Source organism: Homo sapiens, chromosome 7 (assembly GCF_000001405.40).
Source record: "Homo sapiens chromosome 7, GRCh38.p14 Primary Assembly".
Taxonomy (NCBI): domain Eukaryota; kingdom Metazoa; phylum Chordata; class Mammalia; order Primates; family Hominidae; genus Homo; species Homo sapiens.
In genome coordinates this window covers 32,604,975-32,630,629 of record NC_000007.14, presented here as the reverse complement: position 1 = coordinate 32,630,629, position 25,655 = coordinate 32,604,975, and the positions used below count along the sequence as shown (strand labels likewise).

At 38.9% G+C, this 25,655-nt stretch overlaps 1 pseudogene across 1 annotated transcript in view, besides 1 other annotated feature; it reads left to right on the top strand.

Annotated features, from left to right (window-relative positions):
• The window catches only part of DPY19L1P1 (DPY19L1 pseudogene 1), a 138,230-nt pseudogene that overhangs the window by 88,539 nt on the left and 24,036 nt on the right, over positions 1-25,655 (top strand). The window contains exons 10-12 of the transcript NR_036680.1: positions 7,191-7,269; positions 9,558-9,617; positions 10,146-10,226. The product of NR_036680.1 is annotated as a DPY19L1 pseudogene 1 (transcript). The remainder of the gene's footprint in view (positions 1-7,190; positions 7,270-9,557; positions 9,618-10,145; positions 10,227-25,655) is intronic.
• Positions 21,946-22,446: an enhancer, noted in NCBI's record as "H3K27ac hESC enhancer chr7:32647796-32648296 (GRCh37/hg19 assembly coordinates)". NCBI's record gives its function as "activates a minimal SCP1, AML or CMV promoter by ChIP-STARR-seq in primed H9 embryonic stem cells {active_cell/tissue: H9 hESC(primed)}" and the evidence as "EXISTENCE:reporter gene assay evidence [ECO:0000049][PMID:30033119]".

The window sequence follows — 25,655 nt, the reverse complement described above, 5'->3', positions numbered from 1 at the left end:
AATGGTATCTTATAACCTTAATTTGCATTTTCTCTGATTCATAATGAAGCTGAGCATCTTTTGGTTTGTTTGTACGCCCTTCATGTTTCCACTGTTGTAAATTCCTATTCAAATCTTTTACCAGTTTGTCTTGTGTCCAAAAGAAAATGACATCTATTTTAGTCAGTGCAGTGTAATCCATTATTTTTGTTATTTATGTTGATGCTCCAATTGTTCCACACTTGTCCAACTATTCAAGCTGACTTCTCTTTCCTTTTAACATGTCCTCATCATGCTTTGAGCACTTTTAAAAAGAAATTAATAAATGTTAAGTTTCATGAAATGCTTTCGTACATCTGTTTACATGATTCTATGTATTTCCCCCTCTTTAATCTGTTACTGTAATGAATTAACATTAATTAATTTTCTACCGTTAAATAAACTTGCTTTTCTGGGCTAAACACAATTTTTGCATGTCGCTGGATTCAGTTTGCTGTCATTTTGATAGGATTTTTACATCCTTGTTCATGAATGTGTTAGACAGTAATTATGTATTTTTTAGATGCGGCTTATTTTTTCCCAAACTATTTAAAATAGTTTTTTATTTTGTAGTATAAATCAGATTAAATGTTAAGCCTTCAGAGTTGGCTGGTCACATAGACAACTATGGCTGAGGGCCTTGACTCAAAGTTTTAGTTATAAAATTATAAAATTACACAGCGTAGTTAGCCGTAAAACCTACCTTGGGTAAATGATACATACTTTATTATATGACTTACTATTTTCTATCTTCTTCCATTATCGTTTTATAAATTTCTAAATTCTTATAGTTATAAAAAGAAAAAATATATAGAATTATTCCAAAAAAATTATTTTTCCATTTTTTATTGTGGTAAAATACATGTAACTTAAAATTTACCACCTTAAGCATTTTTAATTATACAGTTCAGTGATATTAAGTACATTCACATTGTTTTACAACCATCACCACCATCTATTTCCAGAACATTTTTCATCTTGCAAAACTGAAACTCTATACCCATTAAAGTCCATATTCTTCCATCTTCCCAGCCCCTGGAAACCACCATCTACTTTCTGTCTTTGTGATTTTGACTACTTTATGTATGTCATGTAAGTGAAATCATACAGTATTTGTCTTTTTGTTACTGGCCTATTTCAATTAGCCTACTGTCCCCAAGTTTCTTCTATGTTGAAGCATGTCAGAATTTCCTTCCTTTTAAAGCTAAATAATAGTCCATTGTGTGTACACACACACACACACACACACACACACACGATTTTGCTTATCCATTCAATCTGTCCATGGATACTTGGATTCCATTGTGTGTACACACACATACACACACACACTAGATTTTGCTTATCCATTCAGCCTGTCCATGGATACTTGGATTCCATTGTGTGTACACACACACACACACACACACACACACACGATTTTGCTTATCTATTCAGTCTGTCCACAGATACTTGAGTTACTTCGATGTTTCAGCTATAGTAAATAATGCTGCTATGAACAAATATTTTTTGAGATCTTGTTTTCAATTATTTTGAGTATGTACCCAAAAGTGGAATTGCTGGATTGATCATATGGTAAATCTATTTTTGAAGGAACTGCCAAACTTTTCCATAGTAGCTGTACGTTTTACATTCCTATAAACAGTGCATGAGGTTCTATTTTCTCCATGTAATCACCAACATTTATTTTCTGCTTTTGTGATGGTAGCCATCCTAATAGTTATAAGGTGATACCTCACTGTGGTTTTTGTTTCTTAATTAAAAATCTTTATTTTTCAGAGAAGTTTTAGGTTTACAGCAAAATTATTTTTTTTTTTTTGAGATGGATCTCGCTCTGTCACCCATGCTGGGGTGCAGTGGCACGATCTTGGCTCACTGGAACCTCTGCCTCCCAGGTTCAAGTGATTCTCCTGCCTCAGCCTTCCGAGTAGCTGGGATTAGAGGCACGTGCCACCACACTCAGCTAATTTTTGAATTTTTAATAGAGATGGGATTTCACCATGTTGGCCAGGCTGGTCTTGAACTCCTGACCTCATGTGATCTGCCCACCTCGGCCTCCCAAAGTGCTGGGATTACAGGCATGAGCCACTGCACCCAGCCAGGTTTATAGCAAAATTAAGCAGAAAGTACAGAGTTCCCACATACCCCCTGCCCCCAACCATGCACAACCTACCCCTCTATTGACATCCCGCACCAGAGTGGTACATTTGTTACAGTTGATAAACCTACATCACACATCAGAATCACCCAAAATCCGTAGTTTACGTTAGGCCTCACTTTTCTATGGGTGGTTGTTGTGTTTTGTTTTGTTTTTTGAGACAGGGTCTTGCCGTGTTGCCCAGGCTGGAGTTCAGTGGTGTAAACATGGCTCACCACAGCCTTGACCTCCTGGGCTTAAGGGATCCTTCTGCCTTGGCCTCCCAAAGTGCTAGGATTGCAGATGTGAACCACCGCAATCGGCCTGGATTTTGACAGATGTATAATGACATGTGTCAACCATGTAGTATCTTGTAGAACAGTTTCACAGCCATAAAGCTCTTCTGTGCTCCACCTATTCATCCCTCCTTCCCCCTAACCCGTGGCAGCCGCTGATCTTTTTACTGTTTCCATAGTTTTGCCTTTTGTATAGTGTCATGTGTTTGGAACCATACAGTATGTAGCCTTTTCATATTGGCTTCTTTCACTTAGTAAAAAGCAAATAAGTTTCCTCCAAGTCTTTTCATGGCTTGATAGCTCATTTCAATCTTGATTATTATTAACATTTTATTAACATTATATGGATGTACCACTGTTTATTTATTCGCCTATTGAATAACTGTTGGTTAACTCCAAGTTTGGGCAATTATGAGTAAAGCTGCCATAAACATCTGTATGCAGGTTTTTACATGGATGTTTCAGTTCATTTGAGTGAATACCAAGGAAAGTGATATTTGGATGGTATGGTGAGAGTATGCTTAGTTTTTAGGAAATTGCCAAACTGTCTTCCAAAGTGGCCATACCATTTTGCATTACCACCAGCAATAAATGAGAGTTCCTGCTGCTCCATATCCTTGTCAGCATTTGGTGGTGTCATGGTGGATTATGGCCATTTTAATAGATGTGTAATGGTATCTCATTGTTTTAATTTGGTTCAACATCTTTTATTATGCTTTTTTTTTGCCATCTGTGTATCTTTTTTGGTGCAGTGTCTATTCAGATCTTTTGCTTATTTTTCCTTGGGTGGTTCATTTTCTTATTGTCGAGTTTTAAGAATTCTTTGTATGTTTTTGATAACAATCCCTTATCAGATGTGTCTTTTGCAGATATCTTTTCTCAATCATTGTCCTGTCTTTCAAAGAGCAGAAGTTTTTAATTTTAGTGAAGTTCAGCTTATCAATCATTTCTTTCATGAATTGTACCTTTTTGTTTTATCTAAGAAGTCATCATCGTACCTAAGGTCATCTAGGTTTCCTCCAATGTTATCTTCTAGGAGCTTTATAGTTTTGCAATGTGCATGTAGATCTGTTGTCTGTTTTGAGTTAGTTTTCATGAAGGGTGTAAAGTCTATGTCTAGATTTATTTTTTTGTATGTGGATCTCTAGTTGTTCCAGCACCGTTTGTTGAAAGGACAATTTTTGCTCCACTGTATTGCCTTTGCTCCTTTGTCAAATATCAGTTGACTATATATGTGAGTCTATTTCTGGGCTCTGTGTTTTGTTCCCTTGATCTGTTCGTGTCTTCTTTCACAAATACCACACTGTCTTGATTACAGTAACTTTATAGTAAGTCTTGAAGTGGGGTAGTGTCAGTCCTCTGACTTTGCTCTTCAGTATTGAGTTGGCTCTATACTGGGTTGTTTATATCTCCATATAAACTTCAGAATCACTTTATTGGTAACTTGCTAGGCTCATGATTGGGATTGTGCTGAATCTGTAGATCAAGTTGGGAAGAACTGGCATCTTGACAATATGGAACCTTCCTATATGTGGAATAACTTCATGTATTTATAAAGTTCTTTGATTACTTTCATTGAAGTTTTGTAGTTTTGCTCAGATAGATTTTTTACATAGTTAAATTTGTATCTAAGTGCCTCATTCCAGGAATTCAGGAATGTGTTGATATTAGAAATTCTATTAATATGATTTATCACATTGAGAAGTTTGAAAAAATCCATAATAGGCTGGGCACGGTGGCTCACGCCTGTAATCCCAGCACTTTGGGAGGCCCAGGTGGGTGGATCACGAGGTCAGGAGATCGAGACCATCCTGGCTAACACGGTGAAACCCTGTCTCTACTAGAAATACAAAAAATTAGCCGGGTGTGGTAGCGGGCGCCTGTAGTCCCAGCTACTCGGGAGGCTGAGGCAGGAGAATGGCGTGAACCTGGGAGGCGGAGCTTGCAGTGAGCCGAGATCGCGCCACTGCACTCCAGCCTGGGCGACAGAGCGAGACTCCGTCTCAAAAAAAAAAAAAAAAAAAAAAGACCATAATCAAGTAAAAATAGACGGATATTTCATTGAAATTTAAGATACCCACACCTCAAAACAAAAACTAGTATCACATACAATGATGAAGCCATAGAACAATTTCCTATTTCCATTAATGCCAGAAGCATGGTAAATATGCCTACTGCCTCTCTCATTACTTAACATTGTTGCAGAAATGTCAGCTAATACAATTGACTGAAAAATAATTCAAAGGAAAATGTAAAAATATCATTGTTTGTAGTTGATATCATTTTGAATACTTGAGAAATCCAAATAAACTACTAGAAACAATGAAATCATATTCATTGATGCATATTTAATATAATTTTTCTATATGCAAACAGAAAATATGAAGATTCTTGATACAACAGCAGCAAAAATAATATGCTTTAGAATAAACTCAAGAAAATATGCAGGATCTATATAAAGAAAACCGTACTTGCTAATGCATGTAAAAGAAGATTTAAAGAAATGGAAGGAACATGTATTGCTTTGGGATCTAAAGATTCAATCTTGAACAGATATAACTGTAAATAACATACGTTATTGAATAAAGCAATTTTAATAAAAATTTTAGTTTTTGAAACAAGCTGATTCTGAAATTCACATTGAAATTGATATATATGGATCAAAAATAAAACTTCTAGAAGAAAATATGGATTATTTTATTTTTAGTGCCTTTTTAAATGACAGATAAATCCAAAGACCTAAAGGAAATGAAAGATACATTTGCTAACATAAATATTTAGAAAATAACCATAATACAAAAAATACCACAAAGGTCAAAAATGAACTGAGAAAAATATTTACAATATGTTTACTTGATAAGGAGCTATGTTCTTTATATATGTGTGTGTTTGTGTGTGTGTGTATATATATATATATATATATATATACACACACACACATATACTTTAAGTTCTGGGGTACATGTGCAGCAAGTGGAGGTTTGTTACATAGGTATACATGTGCCATGGTGGTTTGCTGCACCCATCAACCTGTCATCTACATTAGGTATTTCTCCTAATGCTATCCCTCCCCTAGCCCCCCACCCCCAACAGGCCCCAGTGTGTGATGTTCCCCTCCCTGTGTCCATGTGTTCTCATTGTTCAACTGACACTTATGAGTGAGGACATACAGTGTTTGGTTTTCTGTTCCTGTGTTACTTTGCTGACAATGATGGTTTCCAGCTTCATCCATGTCCCTGCAAAGGACATGAACTCATCCTTTTTTTATAGCTGCATAGTATTCCATAATGTATATGTGCCACATTTTCTTTATCTGGTCTATCATTGATGGGCATTTGGGTTTGTTCCAAGTCTTTGCTATCGTGAATAGTGCTGCAATAAACATATGTGTGCATGTATCTTTATAGTAGAATGATTTATAATCCTTTGAGTATATACCCAGCAATGGGATTGCTGGGTCAAATGGTATTACTGGTTCCAGATCCTTGAGGAATCGTCACATTATCTTCCACAATAGTTGAACTAATTTACACTCTCACCAATAGTATAAAAGTGTTCCTGTTTCTCCACATCCTCTCCAGCATCTGTTGTTTCCTGACTTTTTAATGATCACCATTCTAACTGGTGTGAGATGGTATCTCATTGTGGTTTTGATTTGCATTTCTCTAATGACCAGTGATAATGAGCTTTTTTTTTCATATGTTTGTTGGCCACATAAATGTCTTCTTTTGAGAAGTGTCTGTTCGTATCCTTCGCCCACTTTTTGATGGGGTTGTTTGTTTTTTTCTTGTAAATTTGTTTAAGTCCCTTGTATATTCTGGATATTGGGGCTATGTTCTGTAATATATGAAGAGAGCTGTTAAGGAAAATAATGAAAGCCCAATAGACAGATGGGCAGTTGGAATAAGCAGTTCACACATACACACAAGACAACATAACCAGCAAATAGAATAAAAGGTGCTGTGTCTCATCTACTATTAAAAGAATGGAAAAGTGAAACAATGAGGTAACATTTTTTCCCCACTGGATTGGCAGATATTTAAAAGAATAATACAGTGTTGCCAGAATATATATCCATAGGAACTCTCCTGCCCAGTTGGTGGGAAAGGGAATTGGCACAATCTTTTTGTAGGCCAATTTGTCAATATTTGTATTGAATTTAAAAATGTGGATATCCTTGATCCATCAGTTTCACTTCTAGTAATTTATTCATAAATGTACTGACATGTACATAAGGTATACACATAAGGATGTCTATCATAGCAGTGTTTTTATTAGGAAGATCCAAACAAAACAAAATAGAAGTGGAAAGCTCTTAAGTGTTTTGCAGTATTCGGAGGACTAGTTAAATTAGGGTACATCTGTGGAATAGAATACTTTTTCCAGTTCTTAAGCAGAATGTATTAGATTGGCTTGCATGCATATGGAAAGCTCTTTGAAACATATTACGAATAAAAGCAAGAAATAGTATAGCTTGTGGGGTAAGTGTCCGTTTGTGTTTTAACAAAATATATAAACTAGAATTTATACATGTTGTCTGGAAGGATGCACAGGAAACTGTTGATGGTTATCTCTGGGAGCTTGAAGTGTGGGATGGATAATGGGCTGTTTTAATCTTATAGTCCCTTTTGAACAGTTTGAATTCTGTTTATTATGGGCATGTACAATTTTCACAATAAAAAACAAAGGTTTTTTGTTTTATGTGCATTACTTATATTTTTTTCTTGGATTTTTTCCAGATTTCTCTTGCACTTTGTTTTGTTGTGATGTTTGGGAACTCAATGTTATTATTATGCTGCTTCTTTGGTAATTATTTGGGTAAATATTCCTTACTTATTTGGCTGTTTTTGAAATTAATGGTTTAACAATTTCTTCTTCACTGGCTTAGGATTCATGAGGGTTTTCTGTAGGAACCATCTTAAGTGTCTTACTTAATATTCTAGATGTGATGGTGTTTAAGTACTCACTTTTAAAACAGGAAAAAAAAAACAATGAAAAATTAGTATCATTTCAGAAAGATTTATATGCTTTCTTCTCCCTTCCTCCTTTCCATTTTTATCCTACTCCTGCTCCACTTTTTGAACCCCTTTCCTCAAACTGCAGTCTTACAACAGCCTCCCCTCTTCATTCCACAGTGATCAGAAGATCAAGGCCTTGGTTACTTAGGGTTTTTGTTTTGTTTTGTTTTGTTTTGTTTTTTGCCCCTTGTCTACTTGTATGGACTTATTCAGAAGGTTTAAGTAAGGTGATGATTCAATTTTATATTGCTAAATCACTACCAAGAACAGCTTTAGCTTATGGAGAGATTATTTTACAGAATTAGAACAAATTGATGGAAGGTCATCTAATTCCTTCTGCTACATTTGGCAGGATGACTTTTTTTTGTTGTTGTTGTTGTTGTGTTTTTTTTTTTTTTTTTTAAAGATGGAGTTTCGCTCTCATTGCCTACACTGGAGTGCAATGGCGCAATCTCGGCTCACTCTGCCTCCCAGGTTCAAGTGACTCTCCTGCCTCAGCCTTCTGAGTAGCTGGGATTACAAGCATATGCCACCATGCCCGGCTAATTTTGTATTATTAGTAGAGACGGGGTTTTTCCATGTTGGTCAGGCTGGTCTCGAACTCGCGGCCTCAGGTGATCTGCCTACCTTGGCCTCCCAAAGTGCTGGGATTACAGGTGTGAGCCACTGCGCCCAGCTGGCAGGATGACTTTGTAAGTCTAAAAGTCTTCTGAAATTTAAAGACTGCCTTTTTTTTTGGTGGGTTTCCATTAAAATGTTTTGCAAACTTGTTATTCCTTATGTTTAAAGTGCATGTGCTTTAGTTTCCCGATGACTTTAAAAGCACATTGCACTGTCGTAATTGGAATGTATTCTACTTCTTGAGTAATTAAGTTACTCAGATCATTTGGGGTTTCTTAATTTCTAGAAGCCATTACATTTGAAACCTCCATTTTTATTATTTTACAAATAATATTTATTTAAAAACGCATTTCTTAAAAATATGCCTCTTCCCAGTCTGGGCCACCACCCTTTTCAGGTTGTACCTTGGGTATACTTAGCTACAGAAATTAGCAATTAGCATGATGCTGTATTTTTCAGCAACAACAACAAGAAAAATCATAACTTCGGGATTAATAAGTGTAGTTCTTCAGTTCTGTGTCAAAGTGACAAAGTACTCAGTTGTATATATTACATATGTACTTTGTCATGTACTGCTATCACCCAGGATAAAGTACATGAATCTTGGTACTATGGACAAGGAAACCACTGAATCAAATATTACATATAAATAAAATCTAATTTAAGTGCCTTTTGTAGGAAATTTCTCTTCAGTTCTGTATGTCAGGTATGCTGCCAGATGCTTCACACTGAGGTGCGTCTTAGATATGAATTAAGCATATTTATGTATATTCCATATATTTTGGTGTATAAAAATAAATGATAACAGGGAGTACAGCATGTTTGTGCATATTTAACTATAAACATATTTGCATATATTTATAATTAATCACTTTGAAACCTGAATTGTATCACATTTTGTATTCTCAGTTATTCAGAAACTTCCAAAAAGATTTAATTTGGTTTCAAGTATTTATGTTGTGATCTCTAATCATATTTTTGCGATGTTTGAAGTAGTTTTAGCTCCCCAAGGGTAATACAGTTTGGGAGCGTTACTACCTGAAAATACTTAAGATTTGACAAGAGAAGTATTTAGTTGATCCATTAACATTTCATTTGTTGTTTACCCTAAGAGTCAGTAATTTTTAGCTAAAGGAAAATCTTATGCCTGTATGCAATTCTGAAAATGTTATATACCTCATGGCTCAGAGATAAATCAGATATGTCAAATCAGTGATAGACATTTACATATGGTGATTCCTTTTTCAACTTTAAAAAGTCACGCTTTCACCTAATTGACTTTGGATAATAGGGCTATACCTTGAAGTCACTGACTATAGACATGAGCATGTGGATGGTATGTGGAAAGTTGACTGTTTGCTCAATTTTAGATACTTGAGAATCTTATCATTTAGAAGAATTTTTTGGTACTTGAATTTATGTCTGTAAGTATTAACTGTGTATACTATGTTATTTTTCTCTACTCAGGGTATTCTGGCAATGAAACCACATTTCCTGAAAATAAATGTATCTGAACTTAGTTTATGGGTGAGAATCAATCTATTTTAATGCTTATGTTTTTTCTTCTCTAAAATATATCATTGGTTTTATGTTTTACTTTTAAGAAAATGATCTATGTAACTCAGGGGATCCAACAGTTTTATAGTATTTTAGGGCTCAGTTTTAATGTACCAAATTGCCCTTTTTATGAAACAAGTTAAAGTTAATCCTGGGTATGTAGTTTAAAAATTCCAGTTTTATTTATTACTCATGTTTCATCTGAGAAACAGTGCATGTATAAGAAACTGTTAAAGGGAATTTAACTGCAGTGGTTGTGTAAATCTTCTATAAAATATATTAATTTTGATAAGATTGTATGATTATATTTTTATTTTTAGTTACTGTCCCTTGATTTTGAGCAACATGCTTGATTTTAAATTGAGATGCATTTTCTAGCATTTTCTCTTGTAGATAGTAATATGTATTTCATGTATGATTAAAGCATTTATTTTTTTCTTCCTAGCCTATGTCTGTGGAATATGAAGCATCAAAGTTATTTTTGTTTTCTTTTTTTAGGTTATTCAAGGATGTTTTTGGTTATTTGGAACTGTCATACTTAAATACTTGACATCTAAAATTTTTGGTATTGCAGATGACGTAAGTGCATTTTTTGCTTAAACTTGAAAGACTTGAAAAGAATCTAATAAGCTAAGAATAAATTGAGTTATTCAAGTATCACTATTAAATGAAATTCTAGGATGAAGTCTGTTCACCTATTATTTTATGTATTTAATATAATAGAAAGTAAATGTAATTGTATATAGATTTTTGTTCTCCAAAATTAGTTTCTTAAAACAATCTCTTATTTTATTGGTCCTTCTATATCACTAAAATTTTAAAATTTTAAAGCAGGAAAACTCTAGAGATTAAAGATCGAATTTTAAGGTCTATACAGTCGTTTTTCTCTAGCTTCTTTGTAACTGGTAAAGACACCATCTTTAGAGCCTTAACTGGAGATCGTATTATAGTCTCATTCTTTTTTCTCCCCAGTTTTCAAGTCATTACTTGTAAAAGGCTTTTATAAGCCTTTATAGATTATTTAATCTAAGTTAGTCTTATTTAAAGAAGATTTTTGTTTTTGGTATTAGAGTAGAAGGGAAGATAAAATGGAGAAGTCTGTCTTATAATTTTAAGGATTCTCCCTGTCCATAATTGCTTTGCCTATTTTATTTTGGTGTTTTAATCAGCACATCCTAAGTCAGGAGGCTATCAAAGATTTAATTTAAAAAAGCAGCACAAGAACCAACATGGAAAAAATAAACTACCTTTTTTCCTATAATTTATTTTTATTGGTGATTTTCTTCTTTCTGTACTAGATTAATGCTATGGTTTTGAAACTGGGTTATGTGAAGTCCTACGACTTCCCAGGACTCTTCCCTGAGGGCTGTCTACTCCCCTGTCTCCTAGCCTCTCTTTTACCCAGGGCAGTTTAACCTTAATCTCTTTCATATAGGTTTTAATAAGAACAAGGGTTGTTTTTGCTTAAAAGATTGAAAACACATGGACCATTAAATGGGTGGTCTACAATCTGTGGAAAGATTTTTAAAACTTTAAAACTATAGTTGAAAATGTATTCATTCATTCATTCATTCAGTACGTCCTGTGTGTCTGATAGTAGAAAGTATCCTAGAGATAGAAAACTGATTAAGGTATGGTCTAGCGGAAAATTCGGAAAATAGAAACAATTCTTAGCAGTTATAATACAGTGTAATAAAGGCTATGATAAAAAATGAAGTACAGAGTGCTGCAGGAATACACAGGAGGAGCATCAGGGAAGGATCCTGGAAGTCAGCTCTGAGGATGAGAGCTGAAAGGTGGGTGAGTCAGCCAGTATGCAGAGTGCGAGCAGGAAGACAAGTGAAATAACCCTAGTCCTGCATTTATGGAATCTGTTTTATTCACTGGGGAACATGAACCAGTTAAGGTATTAATTCAGGTTAAAGCGATTATTGTCATTTTCTGTCATAGCCTAAAATTATGCCAGGGCCAAAAAATGCTATAAGCTATGTTATTTGCAAATTAGAAATAACTTAGTTGTAACTTTAGTATTTTTAGAAATACGTAACTTTGATCAAGGGCATTGGCTCATAAATTCTTAATTTTGACATTGGTTAAAGGAAGAGAGTGGCAAGGCTACCCAGCCTTTCATTTCCTACTGAGTTCTCTACTTTTACTGATAGTGCCTCTGAGTGTAGGTTTTTAGCTGTCTGCCCCAAATCAGGTCAGCCTGCTCCAGTAGTAAAGGTTATTTTTATGACTAGTCATACTCCATCCTGCCCCCTTCAAAAGAACTATTTCACTAACAGTATGGGGGAGATGGGGGTGGTGCCGAGGTGGATGGGAGCAAACTAGGTAAAAATGCCACAGACTCCCACTGTTTTTACCCAGAGTTTCTCAGTTTTTTATGAATCAATGCTTCCCACGTTGTTGCTTCCTTTTGGTTAATTTCTAGAACCCTATATGAGTGTTTTTTTAAATAATTTTGTCCAACTTTAAAGTTGTTTTGGAGAATGGGAGATACCAGTTTCTTAACTCGGCCATATTTGGAAGTCGACACATTTTTTGATATATGAGTGTTGATCTAGCTTGTATCCTGGGATAAACCTCACCTGCTCAAATGTAGTATTTCTTTTCTATATTGCTGTATTTGGTTGGCTAATATTTTTAAGGATTTTCGTCTATTATTCATGAGGAATATTTGTTGTAGTTTTCTTTTCTCGTAATGATTTTGTCTGGTTTTGGTTTCAGGGTAATGTCATCTCCTAAAATTATTTGCAAGTGTTCTGTCTCCTGTTTTCAGAGAGATTTTTGTGTAGAATTGGTATTATCTCTTCCTTAAGTGTTTGGTAGAATTTGGCAGTGAAGCCCTCACGGCCTGGAGCTTTCTTTGTGGGTAGGTTTTTTATTACAAATTCAATTTCATTAGGAAGCTCTCCAGTTCATCTGGAGTGAACTTTGGTAGTTTATGTCCTTAGAGGAATTTTGCCCATTTTATATATGTCATCAAATGGATAATGCCTTTTGAATTTAGTCAGTTAAAATTCTTACTGGAATTTTTGTGTATATGCGTATTTGCGAAGTGATCTTTTGTTCTTTGGTTGACGTCTCCTTATTTGGATTTGGAATTAATATTGGTCTCCTATTAAGAGCTGTTGTGTCTGTTTGTTTTTGGTGTTCTTTTTTTTTTTATTTTTCCTACTTCCTGGCAACTTGGAAAAGATTTTTTTAAAAGTTTAATAACTCATCCATGTTAACCATCTCATTCTAGGGCTTTTTGGGAGGGAAAATACTTGATTTCTATTTCAGATATTTGAATGCTTTTTGTTCTATTCAAGTTTTCTATTTCTTTTTGTGCCAGTTTTGGTGTTTTATGATTTTCCAGAAATGTATCCATTTTACCTAGGTTTTACAATTTATTAGCAAATTGTGTAGCCTACTCTTCTTATTTTAATTATGTTGAGTCCATAGTTATTTCTCCCTTTTTCATTTGCTTTTTGTTTGCATCTTTTATTTCCTTCATTAGACTTGCTCTAGAGGTCTATTGTTTTAATATTTTTAAAGTTATACCTTTTTTTAGTCCTCTTTGGTTTTATTGTGTTTCTCTTTGTCACCAATTCCTGTCCTTATTCTCACTTCTTTTTGTTTCCTCTCTTCTGATACCCAAGGGAAATGCTTAGCTCTGTTGTTTTCACCTCTCTTATTTTCTGATCAATGCTTTTAAAGCTAAATTTTTCTTAGAAGTATATAGTACTTTTTAATGTATCTTACAAATTGTCTATTTGTGATTTTTTTAAAGGTTAAGTTTTATGATATTTAATTTCTAATCAAAATAATTTTTAAAGCAATTTCTAGTTATTTTCTGGGCGACAGAGTGAGACTGTGTCTCAAAAAAAAAAAAAAAAGTTAATGCTTAATTTTCCCCTTGAATCAAGTGGGCAAATAGAATGAATATGGTGGAAATGACAGTGTATGACTTCCAAGAGTAGGTCACAGGAGGCACTGCTTTCTCCTTGCTTTCTCTCTGAGATCTCTTTCTCTAGGAGAAGCCAGCTGTCATGTCATGATGACAGTCAAGTAGCCCTATGGAAAGTTCCATGTGATAAGGAACTGAGGCCTTCTCAGTTCTAGCACTAACTTGCCAGGCATGTGAATGAATCATCTTGGAAGTAGATTCTCCAGCCCTGGGCAAGCCTTCAGATGACTGCAGCTTCTGGCTGGCGCTTAAATGCAACCTCATTAGAGACCCTGAGCCAGAACCACCCAGCCAAGCCACTGCCAAATTCCTGACCCATAGGAACTGTCTGAGTTCATAAGTATCTGTTGTTTTAGGCTACTAAGATTTGGCATAATAGCAGTGGGTAACTAATTACAGATGCTGAATCTAGGGGAAATTTTGATGATAAGCAGGATATTTCTTGATCTCAAAGTGTTGTCCCACAGACTGTTAATTATCTCTAAGAAGGAAAAAAACAGTAATTGTACAGGGATGAATCAGGCAACAACCTTAACTGGTGATCAGTATTGACACTGGCCATCATATGCCTCCAGATGTGATACCCTGAAAAGGACACAATATCACCTAGTCAGTATACTGACTAGAGTCACCTTGTCAAGATGTGCACATCTTGAATCTAATCATAAGGAAACAGCAGACAGCCTCCACACAAGGAACATCTTAAAAGAAGAAAGAGGAATTTATTTTTCCAAAAAGTCTATGTCATAAAGGACAAAGGTTCTGGAAATTTTCTTTTTTTTTTTTTTTGTTTTTGTTTTTGTTTTTGTTTTTTGAGACAGAGTCTCACTGTGTCGCCCAGGCTGGAGTGCAGTGGTGCAATCTCGGCTCACTGCAACCTCCGCCTCCCGGGTTCACGCCATTCTCCTCCCTCAGCCTCCTGAGTAGCTGGGACTACAGGCACCCGCCACCACACCCAGCTAATTTTTTTGTGTTTTTAGTAGAGACGGGGTTTCACCATGTTAGCCAGGATGGTCTTGATCTCCTGACCTCGTTATCTGCCCGTCTCGGCCTCCCAAAGTGCTGGGATTACAGGCATGAGCCACTGTGCCAGGCCGAAATTTTCTTAATTAAAAGAGACTGACAGGCTGGGTGCAGTGGCTCATGCCTGTAATTCTAGCACTTTTGGAGGCCGAGGCTGGTGGACCACCTAAAGTCAGGAGTTCAAGACCAGCCTGGCCAACATGGCGAAACCCTGTCTCTACAAAAAAATACAAAAATTAGCTGGGCATGGTGGCACGCACCTGTAATCCCAGCTACTTGGGAGGCTGAGGCAGAAGAATTGCTTGACCTGGGAGGTGGAGGTTGCAGTGAGCCAAGATCACGCCACTGCACTCCAGCCTGGGCAACAGAGTGAGACTCTGTCTCAAAAATAAAATAAAATAAAATAAAAATAAATAAAATAAATAAAAAAATAATAAAATCTGACAATTGAATGCAATACCTGACCTAAAACTGGATCCTCTAATGGAGGGAAAAGAAATACTGTCAAGAACATTATTGGGGTCGGGCACAGTGGCTCCCATCTGTGATCCCAGCACTTTGAGAGGCCAAGGTGGATGGATTGCTTGAGTCCAAGAGTTCAAGACCAGCCTGGGCAACATGGCAAAACCCCATCTCTATAGAAAAAAAAAATTATTGGGTCAAGTCACAAAATTGGAATACAAATGGTAGAGAAAATAAAATGATTGAATTAGTTTACATTTACTGAATTTGATAACTGTACCATGGTACATAAGAGAATGTCATTTTCTTGGGAAATACACATTAAGTATTTAGGAGTAAAAGATGATGATGTTTATAATGTAGCCTCAAATAGTTCAGAAAAAAAGTGTGTGTGAGTGTGTGTTTGTGCAGGGGGAGATAGCGTGTACAAATAAGCAGTACAAATGTTAACAGGTGAATCTGGGTAAATGGTAATGGGTGTTCTTTTTATTATTTCCATCTTTGCAACTTATTTGTAAATTTGAAATTATTTCCAAATAAAAAGTTAAAAAAAATACAGCAAAAAAAGTTATATGAGATGGAAGAAAATAAGTGTGGGTAAATATGAAACAAGATCGGCCATACATTGATAATTATTGACACTGAGTGGTTTACTGTAGTATAAAAAGAAGTTTATTATGCTCTTTGACTACTATTGAATATATTTGAAATTTTTCATAATAGAAGAAGGTAAACAATAATGAGGGCATCTGAATTTGAAGATCGCTAATTGTATTTCCCAGCTCTAAAGCTCTATGGCCATTTGAGTGTGATGAATTATGTATGTTAGGTATGATCCTATTTTTTTTTTTTTTTGAGACAAGGTCTTGCTATGTTGCCCAGGCTGGCTTTGAACTCCTGACCTCAAGCAGCCCTCCTGCCTTGGAGGCCTTTTGAATAGCTGGGACTACAGGCTTACACCACTGTGCCCAGTGGTTAGCACATTTCCTGGCACATAGTATAGTAATTGTTCAATATATGTTAGTAATAACTTATTATTGGATGAGTGAATGAAACAAAAAGATTAATTTTCACTGATGGTTAGAAGATGGAGCATTATCGGTAAGGAATTTGACCTGCATAACTACTCTCATTATTGTCATGAGGTGTTACAAGAGGTTCACAGAGGGGGGTACGGAAAGAACAACCTCTTTATAATTTTTTGGGTGGACTCCTATGTATTGAGTAATATATATTTCTCTCTTTTTTTTTTTGAGACGGAGTCTCACTCTGTTGCCCAGGCTGGAGTGCAGTGGCGCGATCTTGGCTCACTGCAAGCTCCGCCTCCCGGGTTCACACCATTCTCCTGCCTCAGCCTCCTGAGTAGCTGGGACTACAGGCATCTGCCACCACACCCAGCTAATTTTTTTGTGTTTTTAGTAGAGACGGGGTTTCACCGTGTTAGCCAGGATGGTCTCGATCTCTTGACCTCGTTTTCTGCCCGCCTCGGCCTCCCAAAGTGCTGGGATTACAGGCATGAGCCACCGCGCCTGGCCTATATTTCTCTTTTTTAAACAGAATGTAACAGAGTCATTTTTTTACCAGAAATTAACACATACAGAGAATAACATATAATATCCCAGGAAAAGTAGAAGACATTTCTCTGTTGTAAGCAGAATGTAACAGAGTCATTTTTTTACCAGAAATTAACACATGTAGAGAATAACATATAATATCCACAGGAAAAGTAGAAGACATAAAATTAGAACCTTTCCCATTGTTAAACAAAGGCTCTGTGGAATCAAACCTGAATTTTTTAAGAAAAAATTGTGGTAGGCCGGGCACAATGGCTGGTGCCTATAATCTTAGCACTTTGGGAGGCTGAGGTGGGAGGATCATTTGAACCCAGGAGTTCAAGACCAGCCTGGGCAACACAGTGACACCTCATCTCTCCAAAAAAAAAAAAAAAAAAAGTATGGAGGTGCCGGCCTGTGGTCCCATCTACTGGGGAGGCTGAGGCAAGAGGACTGCTTGAGCCCCAGAGGTCAAGGCTGCAGTGAGCCATGATCACACTGCTGCACTTCAGCCTAGGCAACAGAGTGAGACCTTGTCTCAAAAAAGAAAAAATTGTGGTAAAATACACATAACATAAAATTTACAATCTTAACCATTTTAAAGCGTACGATTTGTTGATATTAGTACCTCCACAGTGTTGTGTAACCATCACCACGATCCATTTCCAGAACTTTTTTATCTTCCCAGCTGGAAATTCTGTACCCATTAAACACTAACTTCCCATTCTGGCTCCCTCTACCTCCTGGTAACCAGCATTCTATTTTCTGTCTCTGAGAATTTGACTACTCTGGTTGCCACATAGGAGTGGAATTGAGGTAGGAGGCAGGACTCGACTCCAGAGACAGGGCTCATGCTCCAGACCAGATTGAAGACTAGCTGAAACAGGGAAGAGGCGAAAGCACCTTTCCATAAGACAGACCCATTGTCAGCTTACCATTGCCATGAAAACACCTGGAAGTTACCACCCATTTCCATGGCATGAGCCAATGACCCAGAAGTTAATCTATTTCTAGAAATTTCTGCATAATCTGCCCCTTAATTTGCGTATAATTAAAAGTGGGTATGAATATGACTGCAGACCTGCCTCTGAGCTGTTACTCTGGGCACACAGCCTATGGGGGTAGCCCCGCCCCACAAGGAGCAGTGCCTCTGCTACTGCTGCTGTGCACTGCCACTTCAATAAAAGTTGCTGACACCGCCAGCTCACCCTTGAATTCTCTCTTGGGCAAAGCCAAGAACCTTAGTCCTGGGGCAAGCCCCAATTTTGGGGCTCACCTGCTCTACATCAGAATCAGATATAATAGTGTTTGTCTTTTTGTGACTTGCTTATTTCATGAAATACGTCTTCAAGCTTCATTGATGTTGTAGCATGGGTCAGAATTTCCCTCTCATATGGATACACCACATCGTGTTTATCCATTCATTTGTCAATGGCTGCTTAGGTTATTTCCATCCTTTGGCTTCTATGGAAAATGCTTCTGTGAACGTGGGTGTACAGATCTCTCTTCAAGCCCCCGCTTTCAATTTCAAGCCTGGATTTTTACATATGTTGGAGAAAGAAAGTTATGTTTTAAGTTCCTCTTCCCATCTAGCATTTAGGGGTTTTTTGTTTGTTTGTTTTTTGAGACAGTCTTGCTGTGTCACCCAGGCTGGAGTACAGTGGCATGATCTCGGCTCACTGCAACCTCTGCCTCCCGGGTTCAAACAATTTTTCTGCCTCAGCCTCCCGAGTACCTGGGACTACAGGCGCACGCCACTACAGCCAGCTAATTTTTATATTTTAGTAGAGACGGGGTTTCGCCATGTTGGCCAGGCTGGTCTTGAACTCCTGACCTCAGGTGATCCGCCCGTCTAGGCCTACCAAAGTGCTGGGATTACAGGCATGAGCCACCACACCTGGCCAGATTTCGTTTTTATTTGATGTTTTAATTGGCTTTTAAGGGGATAGTGATTATGCTTTTCTTGGTAAAATACCAACATGAATAGTCTTGACCTGTTTGTAATAGCCAAGCTTCAGTTTAGTTTCCAATGTGTTCCTTCATGTGCAATGCTCCTCACATGACTATTTGTAAGTAATTTCTGCTGGAGGGAGTTGATAATAGAAACCTTGTTTTTGGTTTTGGATGTTGGGTGAACACAGAGAAAACACACTGAGGTTGGTCAAGTTCATGAGAAAGGGCACATGAGCCCAGATTCTCTTCAGTAACAAAGTCCTCTTCTTTGAGGGCTGAGACCTGTTATTTTCTCAAGTGAGCCCAGCTTTGCTCATGCTCACATTTGATTTTCCCCATGCACTCCAGCACGATAGCGCTTCTTGTCTCTTTGTTAAAGGGTTATATAATTATGCAGATCAACGTTGTGGGTCTTTTTCCCCTTGGACAGTACTTTCTGGAACTGCTAGATTTCCAGATGAGTGCTGTTTATTCTGGATCAGACTTAATTTGGTCAGCTGAATTCTCTTGGGTATGAAGAGTTTTTCTTACCCTTGGCCTAGTTTTTGTGGTTCTAAATATCTTTTTACAGTTTCAACAAGTACTCTGTAAAACAGGAATAGTTGAAAGCACTGCTTTCTTTTGCCTTCTTAGTTCCTGTGCTGTTTAATGATCTCAGTATGTCAGTTACATTGCCTTCTTTGAAAGCCATAACAACTGAGCCCTGCATTGCAAAGGAATGCTTTGTTATTCTCACCATATTCATCGAGTGCCCACTACATGCCAGGCTCCTCTCAGCTTGTTACAAAACCAGATGGTTACCCCAGTGCATTCAGGAAGGTGATGGAGATATATTCAGGGCCCAGTGGGAAAAAAAAAGGCACTGGTCTAGCTGAGATGGCCCAGGAAGCTCCGCGCTGCTTTTACCCACACACAGCATCTTCTCTACCTTTTATTGCACTTGGATTCTAAGCTCCCGCCCTCCCAAAGAGTAACAACTTAAAAGCAGAAGAAAATCACTGTAGTAAATCACCCTAATAAATCAACTCATTTCCCGTGTTCTCACAGTTCTTGTGGAAAAAATGGAGAAAAAATACAGGAAGAAGAGAGAAGAAATGAAGATGGAAGCGAGTTCGACTCCTATTCTCCTGGGTGCCTCGTCCCTTTGCCTAATTTTGTATTCTGCATTTTCCTCTTTTCCACCTTCCCCCAGCGTTCACAATGATTGGTTTGTTTTTAATTTTTATTTATTTATTTATTTATTTATTTATTTATTTATTGAGACTGTTTCGCTCTTGCTGCCCAGGCTGGGGTGCAATACTGCAATCTTGGCTCACTGCAACCTCCACCTCCTGGTTCAAGCGATTCTCCTGCCTCTAGCTGGGATTACAGGCATGCGCCACCACGCCCAGTTAACTTTTTGTATCTAGTAGAGTTGGGGTTTCACCATGTTGGTCAGGCTGGTCTCGAACTCCTGACCTTAGGTGATCCACCTGACTCGGCCTCCCAAAGTGCTGGGATTACAGGCGTGAGCCACCACACCCGGCCAGCCACCACATCGGCCTTTTTTTTTTTTTTTTTTTTGAATAGAGATGGAGTCTCAGGCTGGTCTCAAACTCCTGGGCTCCAGTGATTCACCTGCCATGGCCCCCCAGAGTGCTGAGATTACAGGTGTGAGCGAGATAGTCTCACTCTGTCCCCCAGGCTGGAGTGCAGTGGTGCCATCTAAGCTCACTGCAACCTCTGCCTCTCTGGTTCAAGCAATTCTCCTGCCTCAGCCTCCTGAGTAGCTGGGATTACAGGCGGCCACAACCACGCCTGGCTAATTTTTATGTTTTTAGGAGAGACAGGGTTTCACCATGTTGGCCAGGCTGTTCTCAAACTCCTGACCTCAGGTAGATCCACCCACCTCGGCCTCCCAAAGTGCTGGAATTACAGGTGTGAGCCCCTGCACCCAGCCTCACATTGCTTGTTTTATTAGTTGTCCAACATCACACTGAGTATCACACTTAGTATTATGCTTCAGTGTGTAACTCAGTTCTCTGTTGGTTCCCAGTTTTCACTATTATGTAAAATGCTGTGACAGAGAACTTCATGCTTATAACTTTTCTTTTTCCTTTTGGATTATTTCTTTAATATAAGAATGGAATGCTGGTCAGGCTTAGGATGGGAGTCAATCCATTTTAAATGAATTATGATCTCCTTATTAAGCTACAGGGGCATAAAAACATTCAATCCTGCTGTATTGACCATGCTTCTCAAAAGCACACCTTGTTCAAAGCAATGAAACAAGTGTTAGTTTAATATTCAGATACACTCATAAAAGAACTCGGTTGAAGCAGGAGAGCCAGCTACAGTGCTAGAAACCCTGAGTCACAGAGCCCTCAATGAGGGAGCCTGGACCGCCACGTGCTGGGGGAGTGCCCCCTTGCTGCCATACTCCTCATTTTATCAGGGCAGGACTTCGTTTGATCAAAGAGTCTCCCATCTAAAGAAATATTTGGAAACCAGGAGCCCATTTCCTTTATTTTATTCAGGACATAGGCTCAGCAAGGTCTCTTTTTAAATGCAGCCAAGATCCACAACAATCCAGGACTGCATTCTGCCTTCAGGTTTTGGGGTGCTCTGGACACAGAATTCCTCTCCTAGTAAATGAGGGGAACGGAAGGAGTGAGGGCCTGGGAGGCCAAGGGAGGAGGTTCACCAGGGAGGAGTCAGGCCTGTTTCTCCTCATTTCTTCTCTTCCTCATTCCTAGCTTCTTCCACACGTCTGTGAGGACAGATCTTTCTAAAACAGCACATCTCGAGGCCAGGCATGGTGGCTCATGCCTGTAATCCCACCACTTTGGGAGGCCAAGGTGGGCGGATCACCTGAGGTCAGGAGTTTGAGACCAGCCTGACAAACATGGTGAAACCCTGTCTCTACTAAAAATACAAAAAAAAAAAAAAAAAAAAAAAAAAATTGGCCAGGCATGGTGTCGCGTGCCTGTAATCCCAGCTACTTGGGAGGCTGAGGCACAAGAATCACTTGAACCTGGGAGGCGGAGGTTGCAGTGAGCAGAGATCGCCCCTCTGCACTCCAGCCTGGGCGACAGAGCAAAGCTCTGTCTCAAAAATAAATAAATAAATAAATAAACAAAACAGCACATCTCCTATGTCGCTCTCCTGGTGACAGCCCTTCACTGCCTCCACTGCTCACCAGGCACCTACAGCGTCCTGGCCACACAGCTCCTCCTCACCTCCACTAGCCCCTCACACCTCCCCCTGCAGGAAGCCTCCTGGCACAGGGATTTCACCCTCTGTTCCTTCCTCTCTGTTGTCCCTCTACCTGGAGCTCCCATCCTGGTCTCACTCGACTTTGCCCTTCACGAGAATGTTTCGCGAGAATCCCAAGGGTATCCTTCCCACGCCCATGGCCGTGGTGTTCCTAAGGCTTCTGGAAGGTAGGACCCTGTCTGCTTTCCTCGGTTTCTCCAGCAGCCTGGGGCCAGGAGAAGGGCAGCACTACGAGAAAGAAGGGGAATGGGAAAGCCATTTGCTTCCTTAAAGATGGCGGGAAGCTGTTTGAATTATATCGGTCAGCCATCACCGGAGGGGGCAGATTTGTGAGTTTTTCCCCAAAGAGAGCTTTCTTTTTTCTTTTTTTTTTTGTTTTTCAACTTTTATTTTCAGCTCAGGAGGTACATGCGCAGGTTTGTAACATGGGTAAAGTGCGTGTCACTGGGGTTTGATGTACAAATGGTTTCGTTACCGGGGTAGTGAGCATACTACCTGATACGAAGTTTGTTGATGCTCACTCTCCTCCCAGCCTCCACCCTCAAGTAGGCCCGGTGTCTGTTATTCCCCTCTGTGTCCATGGGGACTTCATTTATAAAGTGAGATAAATAAGAACGTGTGGTGGCCATGGTGGTGGCTCACGCCTGTAGTCCCAGCACTTTGGGAGGCCGAGGCAGGTGGATTACGAGGTCAGGAGTTCGAGACCAGCCAGACCAACATGGTGAAACCCCGTCTCTACTAAAACAAAAATTAGCTGGGTGTGGTGGCGCATGCCTGTAATCCCAGCTACTCAAGAGGCTGAGTCAGGAGAATCGCTTGAACCTGGGAGATGGAGGTTGCAGTGAGCCCAGATCTCATCACTGCACTCCAGCCTGGGTGACAGAGTAAGACCCTGTCTCAAAAAAAAAAGAAAACAAAAAACAGAACACGTGGTATTTGGTTTTTTGTTCCTGTGTTAATTTGCTTAGGATAATGGCCTCCAGCTCTGTCCATGTTGCTGCAAAGAACATGATTTCATTCTTTTTTTGGCTGCATAGTATGCCATGGTGTATATGGACCACGTTTTCTTTATCCAGTCTACCACTGATGGGCATCTAGGTTGATTCCATGTCTTTGCTATTGTGAACAGTGCTGCAGTGGACATATATGTGCATGTGTGTTTTTGGTAGAATGATTTATATTCCTTTGGGTATATACCCATTAATGGGATTGCTAAATTGAATGGTAGTTTTTTTTAAGTTCTTTTAGAAATCTCCAAACTGCTTTCCACAGTGGCCAAACTAGTTTACATTCCCACCAACAGCGTATAAGCATTCCCTTTTCTTTGCAACCTCACTAACATTGGTTATTTTCTGACTTTTTAGGATTAGCCATCTGACTAGTGTGAGATGTTATCTCATTGTTTTGATTTGCATTTCTCTAATGATTAGTGATCTAGAGCATTTTTTCATATGCTTGTTGGCCACATGTGTGTCTTCTTTTGAGAAGTGTCTGTTCATGTCTTTTGCCGATTTTTTTTTTCTTGAGATAGAGTCTTGCTCTGTCACCCAGACTGGAGTGCAGTAGTACGATCTCAGCTCAGTGCAACCTCTGCCTCTTGGGTTCAAGTGATTCTTCCTGTCTCAGCCTCCCAAGTAGCTGAGATTACAGGCACCCGCTACTACGCCTGGCTAATTTTTGTATTTTTAGAAGAGACAGGGTTCTGTCATGTTGGCCAGCCTGGTCTCGAACTTCTGACCTCAAGTGATCCACCCACCCAAAGTGCTAGGATCCAGATATATCTCTTTCTTTTCTTTTGTTTTTTTTGGACAGAGTCTCATTGTGTAGCCCAGGCTGGAGTGCAATGGTGTGAGCTCGGCTCACTGCAACCTCTGCCTCCTGGGTTCAAACGATTCTCCTGACTCAGCCTCCTGAGTAGCTGGGACTACAGGCACATGCCACCATGCCCCGCTAATTTTTTGGATTTTTAGTAGAGACGGGGTTTCACCGTGTTAGGATGGTCTCGATCTCCTGACCTCGTGACCCGCCCACCTTGGCCTCCCAAAGTGTTGGGATTACAGGCGTGAGCCACTGCGCCTGGCCCCACATATATCTCTTGTACCACAATGATAATAATAGTAATAGCTTACACATACCTAGCACTTTACAAAGAGTGTCTACATGCCTGTGTATCTGATAACTGCTAAAAAGAAGGAATTAATATTTGTTGAGCAGAAATGATTGAATACATGCAGCAAAGCCAGCCCCTCATTTTCCTCAAACAACACTTTTAATTTATGTAGTGATAGGAAGTTTTTAGGGAGATGAAGTGAAAACTCAATTAAAAGTCAGGAGTCCTGAGTTTGACCTTATTTCCTTATTTATAAAACTGGGACGTGACCTATTCTTGCCTTTTCCACAATGAGATATGCTATTCTGACCAGCACAGATGATATGATTTTGTAGAAACTCTCCCCCATTATAAAATTATAAATTATTGAATTATAAAGCAACAACAAAGACAGAATGGCTTTAATGCAGAGATAGTCAAATTGACCAAAGGAATGGGAGGAAATATCTTGAAAAGGACCCAGGCTACTTGTGGTAGCTCACGCCTGTAATCTCAGCATTTTGGGAGGCCAAGGCAGGAGGATCACTTGAGCCCAGGAGGAGGAGACCAGCCTGGGCAGTGTGGCAAAACCTTGTCTCTACAAAAACTCAGAAAACTTAGCTGGGCATGGTGGGACATGCCTGTAGTCCCAGCTAATCAGGAGGCTGAGGTGGGAGGATCACTTGAGCCCAGGAGGTTGAGGCTACAGTGAGTCATGATCACACCACGCTACTCCAGCCTGAATGTCAGAGTGAGACCTTGTCTGGAAGAAAAAGACTCACATGTATATCTTTTCATCCAAAGATATTGTAAAGAAAGCAGAAGGCCAACCCGCAAACTGAAAGAAGATATCTGCATCCACATAACTGACAATGGACTAGTGCTGTGGTTTGAAAGTCCTCTGCAAAACACTTGGGGAAATTATTTATTTTTGTTTTATTATTATTAGTAGTAGTAGTATTAGAGTCAGAGTCTTGCTGTGTTGCCCAGGCTGGAGTGCAGTGGTGCAATCAAAGCTCACTAAAACCTTGAACTTCTGGGTTCAAGTGATCCTCCTGGCTCAACCTCCTGAGTAGCTGGGACCAAAGCCATGTGCCACCATGCCTGGCTAATTTTTTATTTTCTGTAGTGATGGAGTCTCACTGTGTTGCCCAGGCTAGTCTTGAACTCCTGGCCTCAAGCAGTCCTTCTGCCTTGTTCTCCCAGAGTGCTGGGATTGCAGGCATGAGCCACCACACCTGGCCTTCACGTTGAAATTTAATTGCATTGTGGTAGTATTAAGAGGTGGAACCTTTAAGAGGCAATTAGTTAATGAGTGATCTGTCCTCATAAATGTATTAATGACATTACTGGGGGAGTGGGTTAGTTATCATGGGAGTGGGTTTGTGATATAAGGGTGAAGTTCAGCTCCCATCTGTTCTTGTTCTTGCACCTTCCACCATGGGATGAGACAGCATGAAGGCCCTCATGTGCCAGATCCTGTGCCATGCTTTTGGACTTCACAGCCTTCAGAACTATAAGCCTAAAAAACTTCTAGTGTTTATACATTAGTCAATCTGTGGTATTGTTATAGCATCAGAAAACAAACTAAGACAACTAGTATTGAGAATATAGAAAGATTTCCTACAAATAAATAAGAAAAAGAGCACTCTATAATACAGTGAATAAAAAACTTGAGCAAACATTTCACAGATGAGATATGAACAACCAATAAACAT